Source organism: Homo sapiens, chromosome 1 (assembly GCF_000001405.40).
Source record: "Homo sapiens chromosome 1, GRCh38.p14 Primary Assembly".
NCBI classification, from domain to species: domain Eukaryota; kingdom Metazoa; phylum Chordata; class Mammalia; order Primates; family Hominidae; genus Homo; species Homo sapiens.
Genome location: NC_000001.11, coordinates 29,638,243 through 29,660,741, shown reverse-complemented (window position 1 = coordinate 29,660,741; position 22,499 = coordinate 29,638,243). Strand labels below are relative to the sequence as shown.

At 47.4% G+C, this 22,499-nt stretch overlaps 1 long non-coding RNA gene across 3 annotated transcripts in view, besides 1 other annotated feature; it reads right to left on the bottom strand.

The window, feature by feature from the left end:
- Positions 1–22,499, bottom strand: part of LOC107984934 (uncharacterized) — an 84,718-nt gene that overhangs the window by 28,556 nt on the left and 33,663 nt on the right. The window lies entirely within an intron of this gene.
- Positions 9,690–9,769: an enhancer, noted in NCBI's record as "active region_612". NCBI's record gives its function as "activates an Ori minimal core promoter by ATAC-STARR-seq in GM12878 lymphoblastoid cells {active_cell/tissue: GM12878}" and the evidence as "EXISTENCE:reporter gene assay evidence [ECO:0000049][PMID:35858748]".

Below are 22,499 nucleotides of genomic sequence, written 5' to 3'. Positions count from 1 at the left end.
TTAAAGAACTAATCCCAATTATTCTCAAACTTTTCCAAAAATAGTGAAGAGCAAGGAACACTTTCTAACTCATTCTATTAAGCCAACATTACCCTGATACCAAAGTCATCTACAAGAAAACTACAAATATCCTTTATGAACAATGATGTAAAAATTCTCAACAAAATACTAACAAACCAAATTTGGCAGCATATAAAAATGTTATACACGAAGACCTAGCAAAATTTCTTCCTGGAATGCAAGGATAATTCAACACAAGAAAATTGATTAATGTAATATATCTCATTAAAAGAATGATGAAACAAAACCACATGATCATCTCAATGGAAAATAAAACACATGATCATCTCATGATAAAAAAAAAAATACTCACCAAACCAAGAATGAAAAGGAACTACCTCAACATAATAAAAGCCATTATTTAAAAACACACACACACAGAGTAAACATCATGCTAAATGGTGGAAGACTGAAAGCTTTTCCTCTAAGATCAGGAAAAAAAAAATTTCTATTCAACATAGTACTGGAAGTTCTAGCCAGAGAAATTGGGCAAAAAAATAATAAATTTAAAAAGAAGTAAAATAAACCCAAATTGGAAAGAAAGAGGTAAAATTATCTCTGTTCACAGATGATATGATCTAATATGTAGAAAACTCTAAAGATTTCACAAAGAAACTCTTAGAGCTAATAAATGAGTTCAGCAAAGTAGCAGGATACAAAGCCAACACCAAAAAAATCAGTTGTATTTCTATATACTAACAATAAACAATCTTAAAATGGAATTTTGAAAACAATTCCATTTACAATAGCATCAAAAAAATACTTAGGAATTAACCAATGAGGTAAAAGACTTGTACAATGAAAACTGCAAAACATTGCTGAAAGAAGTTTAAGATATAAGGAGAAAAATATTCCATGTTCATGGATAAGAAGACTTAACATTGTTAAGATGTCAATACTACCCAAAACAATCTACATATTCAATGCAACTCATATCAGAATTCCAATGATGTGTTTTTCAGAAATAGAAAAACTCATCCTAAAATTCATACGGAATCTTAAGGGACCCCAATAGCCAAAACAATCTTGAAAAAGAACAAATTTGGAAGACTACAAATGTACTACAAAACTACAGTAATCAAAACAGTATGGTAATGGTATAAAGACAGAAATATAGACCATGGAGTAGAATGGAGAGCCCAGAAGTAAACCCTCACATACATGGTCAAACGATTTTTGATAAGGGCACTAAGACCACTCAGTGGCAAAAGAACAGTCTTCAACACATGGTGCTAGAAAAACTGGATATCCACATGAAAAAGAATGAAGTTGGACCCACACTTAACACCATATACATAAATTAACTCAAAACAGATTAAAGACCTAAATATAAGACTCAAAACAATATAACTCTTAGAAGAAAACATATGGCAAAATCTTCATGACATCAGATTTGACAATGATTTCTTGAATATGACAGCAAAGGCACAAGCAATATACAAAGAAATAGACAGATTAAACTTCATAAAAATTTAGAATTTTCTGCATTAAAAGATACTGTCAACAGAGTAAAAAGCAACCCGTAAAATGGGGGAAAATATTGCAAATTATTTTATAAGGGATTAATATCCAGAATATACAGAGAACTCCTAAAATGCAACAACAACAAAAACTGGATTCAAAAATGGGCAAATTGCTTAAATAGAGACTTCTCAAAAAAATTCAAATAGCCAATAAGCAAATAAAAAGATGCTCAACATCATTAATCATTAGGGAAATGCAGATCAAAATCACAATGAGATACCACCTCAGACCCATTAGGATGGCAACTATTAAAAAATAAATAAATAAATAAATAAATAAATAACAAGTGTGGCAAGGATGTAGAGAAATCAGAACTCTTGTGCACTCTTGGTAGGAATGTAAAATGGTGCAGCCACTATGGAAGACAGTATGGTAGTTCCCCACAAAGTTAAAAACACAATTACCAAGTGACCCTGCAATTCCACTTCTGGGTACATATGCAAAAGAATTGAAAGCAGAGTTCGGAAGGGATACTTATTTACTCATGTTTATAGAAGCATTATTCATAATTGCTGAAAGTGGAAGCAACCCAAGTGACCATTGAAGAATGAATGGATAAGCAAAATGTGATATATACATACAACATAATATGATCCAGCCTTAAAAATAAAGGGAATTCTGGCACATGCTACACGGATAAAACTTGAGGGCACTATGTTAAGTGAAATAAGTCAATCATAAAGGGACAAATACTGTATGATTCTACTTATATGAGATACTTAGAATAGGCAAAATCATAGAAACAGAAAGTAGAGAGGTAGTTGCCAGGGGCTGAGCAGACGATGGAGGAGGGGATAGGGAGTTAGTGTTTAATGGGTATAGAGTTTCATATTCGCAAGATGAAAATTGTTAGGGAGATGCATGTGATGGTTGCACGTTATGAATGTACTTAATACCACTGACCTCTATATTGTACTTAAAAATGGTTAAGATGGTCAATTTATGTTATGTGTATTTTATTTATAAATTAAAAATCATCCCCTCTCAAATGGGGAGTTTCTGGGAAAACACACACACACAAACACGTGTATTTCTAATGATTCTGTGGGTTATGTCTAGCTGACCCACAAGTCCAGGCTGGCTCAGCTGGGGCTGGATGGCCTCAGACAGCTTCAGTCACCTGTTTTGGCCTCAAATGGGGCATCTCTCCACATGGTCTCAAATCCTTGAGTAGCCAATGATGGCAGTCACAGGCTGGCCCCACGCACAAGCATCTTTCAAGTCCCTGATTGTATTATGTTATTGTCATCTTGCCCAAAGCAAATTGTCAAGCCAAGCCCAGATTCAAGGTGTGGAGAAATAGATTCAGCCTCCTGATCAGAGGAACCAAAACATCACATCCCAGAAGGCATGCATTCGGGGTGGGGGGAGCTTGCAGGCACACCGGATCTAACACACCACATCTTTTTTTTTTTTTTTTTTTTACTTTAAGTTTTAGGGTACATGTGCACATTGTGCAGGTTAGTTACCTATGTATACATGAGCCATGCTGGTGTGCTGCACCCACTAACTCGTCATCTAGCATTAGGTATGTCTCCCAATGCTATCCCTCCCCCCTCCCCCCACCCCACAACAGTCCCCAGAGTGTGATATTCCCCTTCCTGTGTCCATGTGATCTCATTGTTCAATTCCCACCTATGAGTGAGAATATGTGGTGTTTGGTTTTTTGTTCTTGTGATAGTCTACTGAGAATGATGGTTTCCAATTTCATCCATGTCCCTACAAAGGACATGAACTCATCATTTTTTATGGCTGCATAGTATTCCATGGTGTATATGTGCCACATTTTCTTAATCCAGTCTATCATTGTTGGACATTTGGGTTGGTTCCAAGTCTTTGCTATTGTGAATAATGCCGCAATAAACATACGTGTGCATGTGTCTTTATAGCAGCATGATTCATAGTCCTTTGGGTATATACTCAGTAATGGGATGGCTGGGTCAAATGGTATTTCCAGTTCTAGATCCCTGAGGAATTGCCACACTGACTTCCACAATGGTTGAACTAGTTTACAGTCCCACCAACAGTTTAAAAGTGTTCCTATTTCTCCACATCCTCTCCAGCACCTGTTGTTTCCTGACTTTTTAATGATCGCCATTCTAACTGGTGTGAGATGGTATCTTATTGTGGTTTTGATTTGCATTTCTCTGATGGCCAGTGATGACGAGCATTTTTTCATGTGTTTTTTGGCTGCATAAATGTCTTCTTTTTCGCTACCCTCCCTCCACCTGTCTGCTGCTGAAGTTTCAAAAATGCTCTGGTCTTCCACAAATGTTGCTCCCTATGCCTGAGATGCTGTTTCCTCAGCTCCTAGGAAATTCATGTGTCTTTCAAAACTCTTTCAAAATATCTCCTCTGGGAAGCCTTCTCTGACTACCCACTCCAGACACCCAGCAGGCTGGGTTAAGGCCTCCTCTGCTCTCCCCTGCATCTCCTTCTCATCCCTCTCACACATTTGGCACTCTGTGCTGTGTGCCCCTCCGACGCCCACTAGGGGGCTGGAAGCCCAGGTCTGGAGCAGCATCTTAGAACTAAAATGCCTAGCACAGGGCCTAAAATAAAAGATTAACTCAACTTGGTAAATGCTTTGGGGGATGGGAGGAAAAAAGGGAGGGAGGGATGGAGTTAGAGAGAGAAGTGAATGAATGAGCCTTGGGTGAAAGGGTCAGGGTAACCTGGGATCAGATGCCATGCCTAGGTCAGGTAACAGCTGCCCAAAGACCCACTACCCCTAGCACGGAACCCAGGGAATATTTTCCCACAGGGGAGGAAAATATTTACTAGCTAACAAAGTTAATGACTACCTGCAGGGGTGTTGCCAAGGAGATGGGCAGGTACCCAAGATGGATGATAGGCTTGACCTGGCCCAGGTGAGGTCAGGGGAGGTGATATTTGATCTGAGACTGAGAGATGCAGGAGAGAGGAGAGGAAAGCTGTCGGGGGGCAGGAGGAGCAGCATGCATGTTGCCTCCTGAGGTGGGGGAGGCAGGGCTTGTCTGAGGAGCTGAAGGAAGACTTTGGAGCTGCCACTCAGGGAAGGAGGCAGGAGGGCGCTGTGCGAGGCTGGGAGAGTGGTCAGAGCCTGGAGGAGTTCTTACGTCCTGCTCAGGAATGCCGCACAGCTTAAAGACAGCTGTGGGAAATGGGGAGAGGCTGAGACTCAGCCCTAGATGGCCTGGGGTCTCAAGAGGAGGAGCAAGGTAGCAGCTCAGATGCCAAAATCAGGGACAACAATAAGGAAAATAGCAAATGCCCCTCTACCACCTACCATTACAGGCAAGGTTCAGTGCCAAATGTTTATTCATTCAATCTGCACAACAACCCAGAGGGGAGTGTTATCTTATTATTCCCATTTAACAGATGAAGAAACTGAGTCATTCAGAGAGGCTGAGTGACTTGACCAAAGGCACACAGCTAAGAAAGTGGTAGAGCTGGGCTTCAAACCCAGATTATGTCCCAACACCAGGGTCTGTGCTCTTACCCATTACCCTCTCACTTGGTTATTAGACAGTCATTTAACAAGCATTCCTTAATCACTTTGTGGATGCAGATACTGCCCTCAGTGATGAGGATATGACAGGGAACAAAAGAGACTTGGTCTTAATCTCTTGGTGCTGATGCACCAGCTGGTCAAGAAGTAAACCACAAACGTCAGATAGAGATGTGTGCTATGTGCAAATGAAGGGACACAATGCAACAGAAGTGATGGTGGAGGATGCGGGGACAGAGCTGGATGAGTGTCTGGAGAGCCCCTAGGAGGAGGTGACATTTGTGCTGAGCTCTCAATGCCATGAGAGGATGAGGAAGAAGAACCTCCCAGGGAGAGGAAAGAGCAGGTGCAAAGGCCCTGACGCAGAAATGCATTCTGCGTAATTGAGAAACTGAGTGTATGAGTCAGATCTCACATTGCTATAAAAAAGTACTTGAGGCCAGGTGCGGTGGCTCATGCCTATAATCCCAACACTTTTGGAGGCCAAGGTGGGTGGATCACTTGAGGTCAGGAGTTCAAGACCAGCCTGGCCAACATGGCGAAACCCCATCTCTACTAATACAAAAAATTAGCCAGGTGTGGTGGTGCATGCCTGTACTCCCAGCTACTCAGGAGGCTGAGGTGGGAGAATCACTTGAACCCAGGAGGCGGAGGTTGCAGTGAGCCGAGATTGTGCCACTGCATTCCAGCCTGGGAGACAGAGTGAGACTCTCTCAAAAAAAATAATAAAATAAAATAAAATAAAAAGTACTTGAGGCTGGGTAATTTATAAAGAAAAGAGGTTTAATTTGCTCACGATTCCACAGGCTGTACAGGAAGCATGGAGGCTTCTGCTTCTGGGGAGGCCTCAGGAAACTTACAATCATGGCGGAAGGCAAAGGGGAAGTGGGCATATCTTACATGGCCAGAGCAGGAGGAAGAGAGGGCAAGGTGGGAGGTGCTACACACTTTCAAACAACCAGATCTCCTGAGAACTCACTCACTATATAGTACCAAGGGGGGTGGTACTAAACCATTCATGAGAACTACCCTCATGATCCAATCACCTCCCACCAGGCCCCACCTACAACACTGAGGATTACAATTTGATGTGAGATTTGGGTGGGAGGTGGGATCACACACCCAAACCATATTACTGAGCAGAGGTCAGTGTAGTGGAAACAGTCAGTGAGAGCAGAGGGCAGGAGACAAGGTCAGAGGGACAGGCAGGGGCAGATCGGGTGGACCTTGGGGCTACATGTGCTGCCATCCTCTGAGTGCCCTCCAGACCCAACCTCAGCCTCCTGCCAGGAGACTGATCTGAATGGATGGCATCAATAGGGCTCCTGTGCCCTCTTGTGCCCCAGCTTCTGTGTGTTCTAGAAGCACCAGAGGAGACCAAGTAACAGGAGTAGAAAGATATTGGGTGCTTATTCCCTGGCTCCCTCCCTCTTAACTATAGCTGCAATGGCTCTCTTTCTCTCTTGAAGCCCCAGCTCCATCTGGTGACCCCTCTTCTGAGGCTGCAGCTCTCTCTGAGGTCTGGTAACAGCTTCTTTCTGGACCGGGATGGAAACAGCCCCCCACTGTTGCCGGCCCCCAGTGGCCTCACCATCCCCTGCTGCCTTCCTGTATCCCTGCCACACCTTGGTGAATTGCCCTCCATTACCCTCCCTTCAATCACCCTCTCCCATTGGTCCTTGGTGGTCTGCTCCCTGCTAAGACCCTGACTGATAGTGGATACTCCTTGATGAGCATTCAGATTTCATTTGAAGTGCAATAGGGAAGCCTCTAGAGAGTTTAAGCTGGGGAGGGACTTACTCTGCTTCAACTTTTATGAAGAACCTCCTGGCTGCTATAGAAATGGATGGGAAGAGGGGACAAGAATAGACAGGGGACATATTGGGGACGATTGCAGGGTCTAGGCAGATATAGTGAAGTTTGGTCCAAGGTGGAGGCAGTAGATAGAGGACCCAGGCCAGATGGGTCCTTCAGATAGTAGCTTCAGCTCCTGAACTTTTGGCCCCTGAGGATCTTGTCCAGGGTCCTGAATTCCCCCAGTGCAGGGGAACTGATGGGTACAGAACCAAGATCCCCCTCAAGGCTGAGGCAGAGTTAGGGGAGCTCAGTGTGGAGGGAGGGCTCCTCGGGGCAGTGGGCCCTCTAGGATTCAAGAAGGATGGGTGGAGCCGGGCATGAGTGGAGCCAGCAGCTGCTCTGGGCCTGGGGCAGAGCTGCCTTGAGCAGGGATGTCATGAAGCCCATTGGTCCCAGAGCTCTGTGAGCCACTCAGGCACTGGCCCAGAGCCATAATCTTCACCCTTGCTGTCCATATAATTGCTTCAATCTCCCTTTGATTTGCAGGAAGTTGTGGCATGGGGGCAGGAGAGAGACGCCACTGGTCCTCAGTCATCTCCCAGTGAGCAGAACCCAACCAAGGTCCCATGGCCTGCCCTGCAGCCCCCTTCACACTCCAGCCCTGGAGTGGTGGGGTTGGGGCATCTCTGGCTGGTGCACAAGCCAGGAAGTTTGGGTGTCTTTTCCAGGTGGAAAAGGTGGAGGAGGGATTCACCAGGGGATGCTGGGCCAGTCGCTTAGCCTCTCTGAGCCTCACTTTTCTCATCTGGGAAATGGGCTAACACATACCTCACAGGGCTGTTGTGAGCCCTGAGTGAGATGCTGATATAGTTTGGATATTTGTCCCCACCCAAATCTCATGTTGAAATGTAATCCACTACTGTTGGAGGTGGGGCCTGGTGGGAGGTTATTGGATCATGGGGGCAGGTGCCTTATGAATGGCTTGGGCCACCTCCTTTGTGATAAGTGAGCTCTCTCTCTGAGTTCACAGGAGATTCCAGTCATTTAAAAGTGTGTGGCCTCTCCCCCAGACTCTCTATCTCTTGTTCCTGCTTTTGCCATGTGACCTGCCTGCTCCCTCTTTGCATTCCACCATGATTGCAAGCTTCCAGAGGCTTCCCTAGAAGCAGATACTGGCACTGTGCTTCCTGTTCAGCCTGTAGAGCCGTGAGCCAGTTAAACCTCTTTTCTTGTAAATTACCCAGCCTCAGGTATTTCTTTATAGCAATGCAAGGACAGCCTAATACAGATGCCAAGGCCAAGGGCTGTGCCTGGCCCTCTGCAGCTGCACCACATGAGTGAGTCCATCCCTCCTGCAGAGAGGTCGGCACTGACAATTCTCCCAGAATCCAACACTCGCGTCATTCAGCCTTCAGCATTCCCATAGGCCTCTATTCCCCGCTCAGGACCATCAAAGCATCAGGTGGGCAGCCACCACAGCCTTTTCCAGCTTGTACAGTAGGGGCCCTTATTTCTCTGCTGAGCAACAGCCTCATAGCCCCGATCACTAATCACTGCACCCCCAGCCTCATGAGCCTGTTGGATACATTCAGGAGACCCTGAAGCCTCCCCTGCCCTAGAGCTGTGGCAGGAGAAAAGACACACCATTGGCCAAGGATCTGCTGCCTCCCTGGCCCTGCGCTCACAGGAGCCTCCCGTGCCCTATTCCCTCCAAGACTGTGCGTGGGCAGGAGGGGGTCAGGAACCACGAGGACGTACACTGGACATGCCAGCCACCCCTGGGAGCAGGACGCTTACCTGGAGTCCCAAGAATAGAGCCTGCTGGGTGCACACGTGAGTGCTGAGTGACAGCAGTGATCAGATCTTTGGCCTGTCAGCACCTGGGAATAATTACAATCCTAAAAAAAGCCCTCATTATTTCTACCAGGGCCGTGGTGCCCTTTGGAAAAGTGGATGTTTCCTGCCAGATCATCCCCTGAAGCTGCATTTGTCACAAGCTATTGTGTAAATCCATGTTTGGCCCATTTTTTAAAAATGTGATTTATCCACTTGGCTGCCTTAACGTTCCTTCTCCAAACTCTCAAAATGTGGCTGATCTCAGGAGCCCGGAGAGGAACCATAAAGCATCACAGGGGAGTGGTCTGGCTGGGTCCAGCCTGGGGCTCTGAACTCCTCGTGCTGCCCCAGAGAGCCAGCATGGCCAGTACGGGCAGCCAAGGTGAGGGAGGGTGTTCTGCTCCAGAGCAGCAACCATTCAGGAACAGTGGAGGGACAGAACCTGGGATCTGGAGGAGGCTCAACTTCAGGCTTATTCACCCCAAAAAGGCTCACTGTGGTTCCACCCTGTGCAGCCCTGTGTGGGGCCTGGGCTGCAGCAGTGAACAGACAAGGTCCCTGCACCCCAAGAGCTGACACCATGGAATGGGGAGGCAGAAAGAGACAGATAAGCAATGCATCAGCAAGACTATTCCAGGTAGGGACAGGTACAGTGAAGAAATCAAAACTGGGTCATGCTATTGAGGTGGGGAAAGGACAGTGCCCATCAGATGTTGGGTCAGTGAAGGTCTTTGTGAGAAGGGAACATTTGAGCTGAGACCTCAATGGGAGATGAAAGACAGAGCAGTTAGTTTTGCCTGGTGGGATCAGGAAGGTTCCAAGGAGGAGACGCGATCTCATGGTGGATGCTTAGAATTGGACCAGGTGGGAGAGGGGAAGTGTCTTCAGGGTATTCCAGATGGGGCAACACAGGAGCCAAGGCCCACAGCAGTGCAGGTTCATAACATGTTGGGGGAATGTCTACTGTGGCCAGAGTGGAGCTGGAAGCGTCCTGGGGCCAGCATGTGACAGATCTCTAGTCCTGTGCTATAGATAGGACCCTCTCCTGAGACATGGGGAACCCTCTAAAGGGGTTAGACCTTGTGACTTCTAAGGCCCCTTCCAGCTTTCAGTTTCCATAAGGCAAGCTTGCAAAGGCTGTTGGCTTTAGTTGAGTGAAAACTGAATGCAAATAAACTTTTTAAAGTTAATAAGCTTGTTAAAAATAGATCTGGGGTGTCATGAAGTCCTGGAGTTCACAGAGACCAGAGGTGGTAGGGGAGACCGAACCTTAGTGGCCCAGGGTCCCTCACGTGGGGCTGTGCACAGATGGACACAGGCCAGGGCAGGATTTCATTCTCCTCCAAACAGTCATTCCCCTCCACCCTGCCCACCCACCGCAAGTGCCAGCAGCACCCAGAGGTCCCCTGCTCTTGCCTTGAATCCTGGCCCAACCCCCTGGGGTACAGTCCTAGAAGGCCATCCACCCACCCCCCAAAAAAAACCCAGCACAAACCAGGTCAACCTTCTTCCCCTCCTATTTTAGATCAAGCAGCCAGTCTGCCCTTTGGGAGCAACAGGCTCATTTCTCTTCCTGGCTCACTAAACAGTAGGACCCTGCGACTCCCACAGCAGGCTACTGGAGAAAGTTTTCTAGAACTTCAGACCCTTTGATGGAGAAGTCAGACTAATGAATAATTGAGACGTCTGGGCTTCCTGAGAACACTATGGATAGAGGTGTCCCAGTTCTTCCAGGAAAGCAGAGCTTCGGAGCGCTGCACGGAGGCGAAGAAAAGCCTTTACTTAAAGATGAGTCAGGAAGGCAGAGGGCTGGGGTGGAAAGGGCTGGAGGCAGCCAGGAGAGGCAGGTGCGTGGGCACTGGCTTCTGGTGAGCACTGCATGCAATTAGGCAATTCATGATCAGAGCACGGCTCTGCACTCAGACCTGGGTATGAAGCCCGTTTACATAATACAAGGTCAAAAGCCCAGCTCATACTCTCTTCCAAATGGCCAGATGGGTGGAGAGGCCACGCCCAAGATAGTACCAGCCTGACAGCCACCCAGCCAGTGGACCCGTAGGAAGGAGAGACCTTTCCCCACCCAGCATCCATTCATGACCCACACACACCCCTGACCCCACGACGCCCCAGAGGGGCTCTGCTTGCTCTGGCTTGAGCCACGTGCCTGCCTCTGCACCAATCGCAGCAGCCACTTGGATGGGAACTTGTGATTGGTCACTTCCAGGTCACATGCTCACTCCTACGCGGGAAGGGAGGTAGTGGATTGGCAACGCAACCAAAATAACATGGAGTATCAAGGAGCAAACAGGAAAGAAATGAAGGGCTCTTTGCAGAATGGAGAGAGGAGGGAATGTTACTGAGCACTTGGCAGGCATTCAAATGCCTTGGTGATCTGGCCCCAGGCTACCTATCCAGTCCCTTCCAGCTACACCCCTACTGCACTCAGCCTGACTCATCTGAATATTTGCAGGGTCCTCAGTGCTGCGCACTCACTCCACCGCAGGTCTTGCCCAGGGGTTCCCTCTGGCTTGGATGACTTCTACCACCTGCACAGCAAAGCCAGTCTTGGGTGTCACCTTCTCTGGTAAACCTTCCATCCTGCCCACTGGCATACTGTGCTTGGTCTCCGTCGGTTCACAGCCCCCCTGCCCAGCTACCCCGACTCCCTGCCCTTGAGAACAGAGATTTAATCTTATTCTCTTCTGTTTCACTAGTGTCTTGCACATTTTCTGGCACCCTGTCAGCTCAATGAATGTCTTTAGAATGAATCCATTAATGAATTAATTCCAGTTATTGGCAGAACTGATCTTTTGTGTATCTGGCAACAGCAGCTGCGCTCCATGTGCTGTGGTTTAACAAGCCTTGAGGAGATGTCCTTGTCCCAGATTGTATTCCTGATAGGCATCCTAAGAGTAGTTTCTTTCCCTCTCTGACCTTGCTTTCCTCGTCTGTGAAATGGGCTCCCTGACCTTTAACGCTGGTTCCAGTCCTGTAAGTCATGGAAAAGACTAGCCTTGGGAAACCAGGGCCAACCTGGGGGACCCTGGATAGGCCGTCCTAGAAGAGCCCTAGGAGACTGGCATCCTGGGAGGCAGAGGGGCCTAGGATGAGAGAAGTTTCCAAGCATATAAAAGTGAAATCCTGCTGAATTCACAATTTTGCTAATATTAGAATACTGTCAGATACTTCCAAAACCAAAAAAAAAAAAAAAAAAAAAAATGAGTTCTGAGTCTTGAATTAATCTTTACATTTTCACAGGGAAACTTAGATCTGTCTTTTGAAGTACAATAAAATCTCACTAATGAAAACTGATCATAATTCTGGGCACCTTTGTGTTTGCTATGGGAAGAATTGTTTTGCTAAACCAATTAATAATATAAACAAGACTAGAAGTGAAAGTATTTACCCTACTAAAATGAGCAAAGTTTTTGCAAGCCTCTTCTTCACAAATTCATGGGTCCAGGAGGAACTTCAAGATCCTCAAAATTGTTCTCCTCTCTCTAATCCTACCCATGTTTCCTGTACCCAAGTGAGGTCTCAGCACTGTGATCATAGGTAATAATAAGTAACAGTTAAAAAGGAGCTACCATGTGCTGAAAACTTGGCTGAGAACTTTTAATCCTCACAATTCTACCTCTGACTTCATCTCCTACTGCTCTCCCCACCTTACTACGCTCCAGCCACACCAGCCTTTTCTGAGTTCCGAGCTCACACTCACCTCCAGAGCTTTGCATGTGCTGTTCCTCTGCCTGGGGCTCTCTTCCCCCGCAGCAGCCTTATGGCTGGCTCCTCATTGTTCAAGGCTGAATTCAAACATCACCTCCTCTGAGAAGCCCTCCCTGATCATCCTATCAGACATTTCCCTCCTCCTGTCCATCAGGCCTCAATCCTGTACATCATCTGCAGCTATTGCCTTAGTAGCTCTCATCATGGTCGGAAATCAACCTATTTATTGATGTATTTACTTATATCCCACCTCCCCCTCCAGAATGTGAGCTCCTTCAGGGCAGAGTCCTTGTCTACCTTTTTCACAATTGCATTCCCACTGCCCAAAACAATGAATTTCTGTCTCCCCAAACCCCAACCTTGCCCATGGTGCTTTCTAATAAATGCATATTAAACTAACAAATGGATATATAGAAAGTACAGTAGACAAAAAATAACTCAGAATAAATCATGAGCCAGGCATGAGGTTTATCTTCACTTCATCCAACAAGTTTTCCTGAGTCATTTGAATGATTGCAAAAGGTCTGTCTGTTCTATTTAAAAGAGTGCCTTGCTTTCTGGACATCTGTATTCACAAATTCATCACCTAAAAGGGTTGTCAGCCATTGCATAAGATCCTAAGCACATTTCACAGATGAAAATACTGAGACTCAGAAAGAGAGTTAGATCAGTAAGATCTTGTGTGGTGTCAGAGACGACAAGAAGCCAGCTCACTTGGTCTCATATCTGTGTCTAAAGCACTCTGGAGGTGCTTTTAGAATCTTTCATCTGTCACAAGAATTGGCACAACTTTTCTGGGGGCACTGTAGGAATAATAATAATAAAATAATAGTAGGAGTAGCCAAAATGTCCTGAGTGGGATAAACAGTGTGGTAAACCCTTCAAACAACAACCCAAGGGGATGAGTACTATTGTTATCCCCATTTTCCAGAGGATGACACCAGGACCCAGATTCCCTGCCTCCGGTCCCTCACCCAGAGCAGGGACATGCAGGGGACCCTGGAGCACCTTCTGCAGAAGGGCTGGGTGTCAGACCTGGCTTCTCACCTCACCTGGCGCCATTTAGAGACATTAAAAAGCACTCAAAGCTAGGCTGGGTGCAATGGCTCACACCTGTAATCCCAGCACTTTCGGAGGCGAGGCGGAGGCAGGCAGATCGCCTGAGGTCAGAAATTCGAGAATTCGAGACCAGCCCGGCCAACATGGTGAAACCCTGTCTCTACTAAAAATACAAAAATTAGCCAGGCATGGTGGCAGCCGCCTATAATCCCAGCTACTCGGGAGGCTGAGGCAGGAGAATCGCTTGAACCTGGAAGGCAGCGGTTGCAGTGAGCCAAGATGGCACCACTGCACTACGGCCTGGGCAACAGAGCAAGACTCCGTCTCAAAAAAAGAAAAAAAAAAAAAAGCACCCAAAGCTGAAATCACTGAGATTTCTTCATCCTGCAATTTCTATTGAAAATTATTGTCTCTCACTTTTCTTCCCACCTACCCAAAATATCAAGTCAGTCTTTCCTAGAAGCACTTAATGGAGATAAAGGGGATTCGGGGATAATTTTGCCCCATTGAATAGTCACCTGGAGCGAATGAGAGTGGCCATATCCTCATGGGGCCCATCACCTCCTCTCCCCTCCCTGTCCTGTTCCTGCCCACTCCCCTTTTCACTCCTCAGAGGCAGCCATGGGAGCTCAGTCACTGGGGAAATTCACATGTTCTCCAGGGCCCCTGCCAAGGTCTGCTTTCCAGAAATCCAGTTCCCACATGAACCTGGCCTGACGTTACCAGTGAAAGCCTCTGAGCTTCTGGAAAGGAGCAGGGAGGAATCCCCTGGAGAGAAGGCAGAAGCCCCTCAGGCCTTGCTCTGAGATGCCACCAGCACCTGCTTGGTGGTGACACCTTGGAAATCCTCCAGGCCACAAGGCCGGGCCACAAGCTTTTCAGTGCCACTTGAGACAATGCTAGGCTCTCGGCAGGTTAGCAGGGGAAGGTTAAAGCAGGGACAGGAGTCTCTGATGCAGAGAAGCCATGACCCTTAACTATTCAAAAGCACAGCCCATCCCTAGAAGGGCCGGTCAGGGCTGCAGAGGGACGCCAACCTCCTCCTGGGGTCTTCATTGCTCTGGCTTTGGGATTCTCTGGAAACTTGCCCTAGCCCGCAGGCAGGGCCCACTGTAGTTACCCTTCATAATAAGAGCTTTCATTAAAATGAGCATCTACTATGTGCCAGGCACCATGCAAGGAATTAACACTCTATATATTAGGGTAATCACTGTGAAATTGCCAATTTCGTAGGCTGAAAATATAGGTTGAAATAGCAACAACTTTCTATCATTCAACCTAATACATTCTCCTATTTCATCTCCACAATAACACTGTGAGGCGCCGATCACGATCCTCATTTTATAGGTGAGAAAACAGAGGCTCAGGGAAGCAGCCAGAAGTGGGCAGTCAGAATCCACATGCACGTGGGCCCCATGCTAAGCCCAGCTCTCTCTGCAGGGCCTTACTGTCCCTCCTGTTATTCTCATTCCTCCTCTGCTTTGCCCTGTTCCCGGGGTCTGCGGCACTCGCCCTCACTACGGTGCCTTTGCTTCTGCTGGGCCTCCCTCTTGAACTGCTTTTCCCTTCCTGTCTTTCACAGGATCACAAGAGGAGCCGCAGAGTTGAGTTGAAAAAGATACCATGTCTGCCCTTAAAGGGCTCACTGCCCTGTGTAGACACAGGATAATTTGTGATTTCAACTCCATGTGTTCAGGAAGAAAAAGAGAGATCTGACTAGTAGCTTAAAAATGCCCGTGATTTTGCCTACACTCCTCTCCATGAATCCCTGCTCCACAATGACTCTAAGCCAGGAGCTCTGAATCTGTGGTTTCCTGGCTTCTGTTTACCTGCACCTGCTGAATCTATAGATGGACACCTCATGAGAGGTGATTCTGCAGAACTGGCCAAGCAGAAAGGCTGAGCTTGGGGATCAGGGTCTGTGGAGGCATCTGGGCAGGGGAACAGCGGTGTGGAAGGAAGCAAAAAAGAGCTCCGTGGAGCTGGAGAGTGAAGGATGGGGGGGTGATAAGGTTAGGCTTTGTGTCCCCACCCAAATCTCATCTTGAATTGTAAATCCCCAGGTGTTGAAGGAGAGATCTGCTTCTCTGTGGGAGGTGATTGGATCATAGGGACATTCTCCCTCCTGCTGTTCTCATGGCAGTGAGTGAGTTCCTATGAGATCTGATGGTTTTATAAGTGTCTGGCATTTCCCCTGCTTGCACTTCTCTTTCCTGCCACCATGTGCAGAAGGTCTTTGCTTCCCCTTCTCCTTCCGCCATGATTGTAAGTTTCCTGAGGCCTCCCCAGCCATGCAGAACTGTGCGTCAATTAAATATCCTTCCTTTATAAATTACCCATTCACGGCTGTGTCTTTACAGCAGTGTGAGAATGGACTAATACAGGAAGGAGTGGGGGAAGGTCAGGGCAGGTGATGACGCTGCAGAGTTTGGCCAAGGCCAGACTTGAAATGGCAAGCTGAGTTTGAAATCTATTCCAGAGGCTAATCATTTTCACCTAGGTTCTTCCTCTGTGGTGGCTCAAAAGTTGAGTTGCCAGATTAAGCAAATAAAAATATAAGATGGATAGATTCTCAGTTATACTTGACTTTCAGCTAAACAATGAATATTTGTTTAGTGTAAGTATGCCCCATACAATATTTGGGACATACTTATACTAAAAAATTATTGTTTATCTAGAACTCAAACATAACCAGGTGTCCTATATTTTATCCAGTACCTCTACTTGGGGACCAGAGCAGGCTAAGAGGAGGCCAGGAATGGGCAGGCTCAGCCCCCTCTCCACTGCAATCTGAAAAGTTTTGCTGCTCTAATTTTAGATTTTGGGGAATCTATGTCAGATCCATTTGAAAATAAGTTTCTGACTTCAATAATAACACTAAAATGTACATAAAACCATTGTGTAAATTATGTGTAAGATCCCTTCAGGGACCTAGACAAGGGGTTAGCAAATGTTTTCCATAAAGGGCCAGATTTAAATATTTAATTGTAATTAATTATAAATATTTAATTTTATTATACAGTTGTAAATATTTGATTATAATTAATATTTAATTGAAATATTTAATTATAAAATGTAAATATTTTAGGCTTTGTGTATTATACCATCTCTGTTGAAACAACTCAACTTTGCAGTTACAGTGTGAAAGCAGCTTTAGACACTTAGTAGGTAAATGAATGTGTCTGTTCCAATAAAACTTTATTTACAAAATCAGACTGTGGAGCCACATATGGCCCATGGGCTATAGTTTGCTGACCCCTCATCTAGACTGTTGGGCACACTCAGTGCTGGCTGAGAGAAATCATATTCTTTCCACGATGTTCTGTGCACAGGGACAATTCCTCTTAAGAAGCTGAAAATCTAACTGGGGACATCTGTATCTCTCTTCCTGCCACTGATTTGTGGGGTGATCATGGAAAAGGTTGCCCTTCCTTTCCTGGGTCTTAGAGGTCCCACTTCCATGATGAAATAGTTGGAGCCCCAGGATCTTCTCCCAAGTCACATCTGATGACCTGGTCCTACCATAACATCTGTCCCCAAGTGGTAGTTGCTATTCTCTCTCCCTCCTTTTCTAAAGTCCCCACTATCTGGTTGCAAGATGAAGACAGCATTTACTTATTCTACCCACTTTCGCCCCATGGACAATTTTTTTTTTTTTTTACATTTCCAGGGACTCCAGATGCCCTGAAAACCCTTCACCCCTGCTGCCTCCTTAGTCACTTACACTGGGCAGAATGCCCACGGCCAGGGGCACTGAATCTCCCCCATGCAAGTAAACATGTTGGCAGTGCCAACTCACTGCCAGAGACCAGGACCCCCTAACAGGGAGCTTGCCCACAACTGGGAATGTCTTTAACACCTATTGACAGCTCTTCCCCCATCGCTCTGTGCCAAAGTTGAAACAGTAAAAGGCATCGATTTCCCAGGACTGAACTGGGGGGCCAAGGTCAAGGCAAGGAAGAGGTGGGTTGCAGGGCACCATGCAAGATGGGTTTTACATGAAATTATGGTTCTGGCTCTCCCAGTGGCATCTCTTCTGTGCCACCACGACAGACAGCTCTGTGAGAAATGGCAGATTTGTATTTCATTAGGACACTTTAGTCAAAAGATCAATGATGCTTCTCAGAACCTCTCTGCCCATCCACTGGGGTGGGTGAGCCTGGTGAGAAGCCTGCAAAGACCCAGCTAAAATTAGGCAGCTGCCGACAGACACCCGATTCACAGTCACAGAGCATCGATTACAAAAGTGATGCTGGGCTGACGGGCTTTAATCGGCCTCCGTGTTCTGTCTTTGTGGAGAGGGACCTTTGTAATGAAGTGGCTCCCTCTCTGGGGAAATGAAGCTATCTGGGGATAGGCTCAGGATTTGGCAGAGTGCAGGAATGGAGGGATGGTGGCAGGGGGAGGGTGGTCATGGTGTTGGGGTCTGCGTGTGCTTCCTTCACCCAGAGCTTGGCTGTCAGGCTCTGAAGCCCAAAATGAAAAGTAAAGGGCCATCTACCGACTAGCTGAGTGACGCGGGCATCAGCCTCTCTGGCCTCAGTATTCCTCACCTGTAAAATGGACACAACAATGGAATCTTATCAGGGGGTTGTTCTGAGGATTTGGTGACTTGATTGATGCAATCCTATTGGCAGAGGGCCTAGCACAAAGGGAACGTTCTCTATCTGGAGGCTGGTGTTGATGTCTCTTACTGAGCGCCCCTGAACATCAGACACTCCACCAAATATTTTTGTTGCCTCATCTTACATAAACGTCGCATCAACTTTACGAGGAGTGGTTTCCTTTAAACAAACAAGGAGGATTTAAACAAATATTAAAATCTGCTGGGAAATGGCAGCTTTGGGTTTCAAGCTCACGTCTGTCTGACACCCAAATCCATTTCTATCTCAGCCCATCCTTTCCCTCTCCTGCTACTCCTCCTCCTCCTCATCATCCTCTTTCTCCTCCCCTTCCCTTCTTCCTCTCCTCTTCCTCCCACATCCACCCAGCCAGGCCATCTGCTCACAGTTCCTTCATCTCCTAGGGCCTCCTCTCCTCTGCCTGGGCACCTGCTGGCCTTTCCCTCCCTCCAGCCCTCATATTCTGTCCACCATCAGGGCACGGCCCCCCCTGAAACCACCCCCCCCGAGTTCTCTGGATGGCAGTGCTGTGTTGACTGACTGCCTCACTGCATCTCACCCAGGCTCACTGCTATGAGGGACACTATGGTTCAGGGAGGAGAGGACTGGGCTTTAAGCCAGACAGACCTGGATTCAAATCCCAGCTCAGCGACTTCCAAGCTCTGTCATCACCATCAATTCATTTAACTGCTGACTCCCACTCCCTTGGGATAATTATACCCACCAAGGCCACCGGGATTGAATGGGAAGAAAATCAGCCCTGGTCCCTCTGCTGAAACTGGAAGTTCCCTAGGTGCAGGCAGAGTGGGAGGGGGTACGAGGAGGGAGGTGGGGGCAGAGTCACCACCACTCACACCTCCATGGTGCCTGAGGTTGTCATACATTTCGCCAAATATTTTCACATCTGCCCCCTTCAGGAACCACGCTGGGACTCTCCTCCCGTCCCCCTGGAGAGACAGAAAGTGAGACCTTCTGGCTAGTTCTGGGCAATGAGTTGTGCAGGTGGAAATACTGTGTCACTTCCCTGTTGAGCACCTAATAGTTGGTACCAAACCCACCAGAGCTCTCCTCTCCCCTGGTATGAGAGCTGCACTGTCCCCAGGGTCTGTGGGTGGACATGTTGAGCACAGCTACTCCACCCTGCCCTTGGTAGATTTGTAGGATTCGCAAGAAATAAATATCTGGGTGTTTTAGGCTACTGTGCTTTGAGAGTGTTTGTTCCTAAAGCATAGCCTCACCTATCCTGACTGGTCCAGTGCTCAGCATGCGGAAGGCCTCCAGCTAGGTGCCCTCCATGATTGGCTGTTGAAATAAGGGCATGAGCTGCCCCTCTGATGCTGCTCCAATAGGTCAGGGATGGGGGCAGCAGTGAGGAAGGAAGGAAGGAAGAGAAAGAAAGAAGAGAAAGAAGGAAAAAGAAAGAGAGAGAGAAAGACAAACAGAACGAAAGAAAGAAATGTACAGAGAATAACAACAAGTGATACAGAAGAGATGTCGTGTAGCTATAAAGAACACAGACACGGGAGCATACACCAGACCAAGCTTCAAGACCTGACTTGGCCACTTTCTTTTCATGTAACTGCTGGCAAACCCCTCTGTGCCTCAATTTTCTCACCTGTATCATGGGGCTAATATAAGAAACATCAGAAATATCAGGGATGCCATGAAGATGAAACAAGGCCCATACTAGGTGCTCAACAGGGCCCTGGCTCCTAGCTGGATCACAGCAGATAATCATTTTGTGAAGCTGCAGAGATTAAAGCTGACCTGTTTTACTGATGTCCTGGAGGGTGCCATTAAGGGCCTCCTGAGGATAGGGAAGGACCCAGCACCCAGCACCCTGTCCTATGACACCATCTGCAGCTGTGTCTCTAGCTGTCCCTGGGGAGACACACAAATATGTTTCATGGAGAAAGAGCTAGAACAAAAGAAAAGGGGCGGATGTGAGTGAGGTGCCAGCCAACCGTAGAGAAGGACTTTGTGGAACCCCCCAGTGCTCTGGCTCTCCAGCCTAATCTTCCTGTCTTGGCATTCCAGGTCCCACAAGATCAGGCCCCACCTCTCCAGCCCTTTGCCCCCTGACTGCAGACACCGACCTGCAGCTGCCCCTCACCTGCACTCATCTTCCTGCTTCTGTCCCAACTGTCCACCCAACAGAGTGGCCTTTCCTTTCTTGTCCCCACAGGCCAGCTCTTTACGGTTCTCCAGGAACCAGCTCAGAGAGCCCCTCCTGCCCAGGTCCACCACCTCAGTCCCTGGAAGGGCTCCACAAGTGTTCATTGTTATTATTTTTAATCAGTTAGTCTGAGGCTCGAATGGAGGCTTTGCCACTTCCTGGTCATGCATTCTTGGGTATGTGACTCAGCCCCACTGGAACCCCATGAAGCCCATCTCACCAGGCTGCTGCAGGGAGCGGGTGACGTCCTGCATGTGAAGTACTATGCCCAGGGCTCAGTCCAGGTGCGGAGCCAGCAACAAGACACCAAGGTCCGCCCTGCAGGACAGCCCACCAGCTTCCCAGGGCCCGAGGAGCGGGCATGAGGATGGTTGGTTATTCCAGAAAGGATGTGAGGGGAAGGAAAAAGAAATCACGATCCTCCCGCTCAACTTTGTAAGCAGCATTGATCTGAGGCAGGAGTCACTAGTGTTGCAGGTGTGTTGATCGACGGGGCCAGGACGGGCCTTTCAGGGCGATGTGTGCTGCATACACAATGGGTTCGAAACCTGCCCTCTCCGCACATGGATTACAGGGATTAAAGGTGTCTGTAAAGCTCTGAAGGATGTGGTCAGCCTCCAGCTGTGTGAGGTGAGGCAGGGTACCCAGTAATGTCAACAGTCCTAAAGGGAAGGCAGTGCTCAGCATGGCATACCCTGTGTCCCCATCTCCAGGGAGGGATTCAGGCCATGCTCCCCTGCTGAGGCCGGCATTGCAGCCAGAGGAGGGGCAGCAGTGAACACAATGAACAAAAATCCCTGCCTGCCTGGAGCTTACATTCTCTATATTATATTCTCAGCTCCAGAATGTATATTCTCTGAGGTCAGAGGCCAGGTCTGTTTCCCTAGGATACAGCCTTGTGCCTGGCACATAGTAGGTGCTTACTTGTTTAATAAATAAAGTCCTTTAGCTCCCATTCACCTGGCTCACACTCCTGGAACATTCAGACTATGGATGCCAGAAATGACGTAGAAGGTGCTAAGGCCTGGAAAGGGGAAGGGACGTGCCCTAAGCTCCATGGCCAGGTACCTGCCCTGCCAGCACCGGAACAGGAGTGCTGACTCACTCAGGGCAAAGCCTCTTCTGGCTCCTGCTCACACCCCCTCAGCATGTGCAAGGCTGCAGAACAGTGATTTTATTAGAGTGTAAAGACAATTTATTTTCCCCTAAAAATAACTGAAAAATAAATGACTGCAGGAGATACTCAAATGTTTATAAAAGTATTAAAACCACGTTATCAGCATATAAAGTGCGGAAGCATAAATGAGAAGGCTCCAGCCTGCCAGGCGATGACGGGCCCATTCTGCATGTGTCCATGACCGAGCAGGCTTAATAGGCACTCACTAAACTGGGTGAGAAATCCCGTGCAGGAGGGGAGACAGACCCCATAAAATGAGTTTCGGATCCCTTCTCTATTCCAACTTATCAGCGGTCAGAGTAGAAGACAAAATCTACATTGTCTTGTATCAAACCAACATCTTTCGCAGAAAATTCCCAAACCACTTTTTCTCTAAGAAGGAAAAATGGCCACTTCTCATGTCAAATGTGACAGGTTCTAAGATAGAAAAGAACATGTTACAGAACAAGAAGGAGAAAAAATATATACTTTATTGAGATTCTACCGTGTCTGACATGGAGATCAGCAGTTTCAACTCATTTTTTAAAATCCACCCACAAACCATGTGGAGCAGGTATTATTATTACCAAAGCCCACCTCGGGGCCTGCTCCATAAATATCTGCTGATATCAAACCCCCACTATTTAAGTGGGCCCATGCAATTCACTCTAGGGCAGAAAACAGCCACTCCACCTAATGGCATCCATTAGTCAAGCGTGACAGTGTCTGTTTCAGCAGTTACCTGCTTGCTTGGTCCCACACCTCAGCATCTACTGTTTCCCAAGGAAGGACTACCAGCCTTGGGCATCTCTTGCAGGAGGGCAGGCGTGTTCTTGAGTGACAGGCAGTTGACAGAGACAGCACACTGAGCCTCACAGCTGGCTCCAGCCCATCTGCCCTGCTTTGTAGGAAGTGGTGTCAAAATTTTATGGAAAGGGCACAGGCTTTGAGACTGCAGAGCTGGGTTCAAATCATACCTCTAATCCTTATGCATTGTTTATCCTTCACTAGTCCCTCTGAGCCTCAGTTTTCTTGTCTGTAAAGTGGGGATAA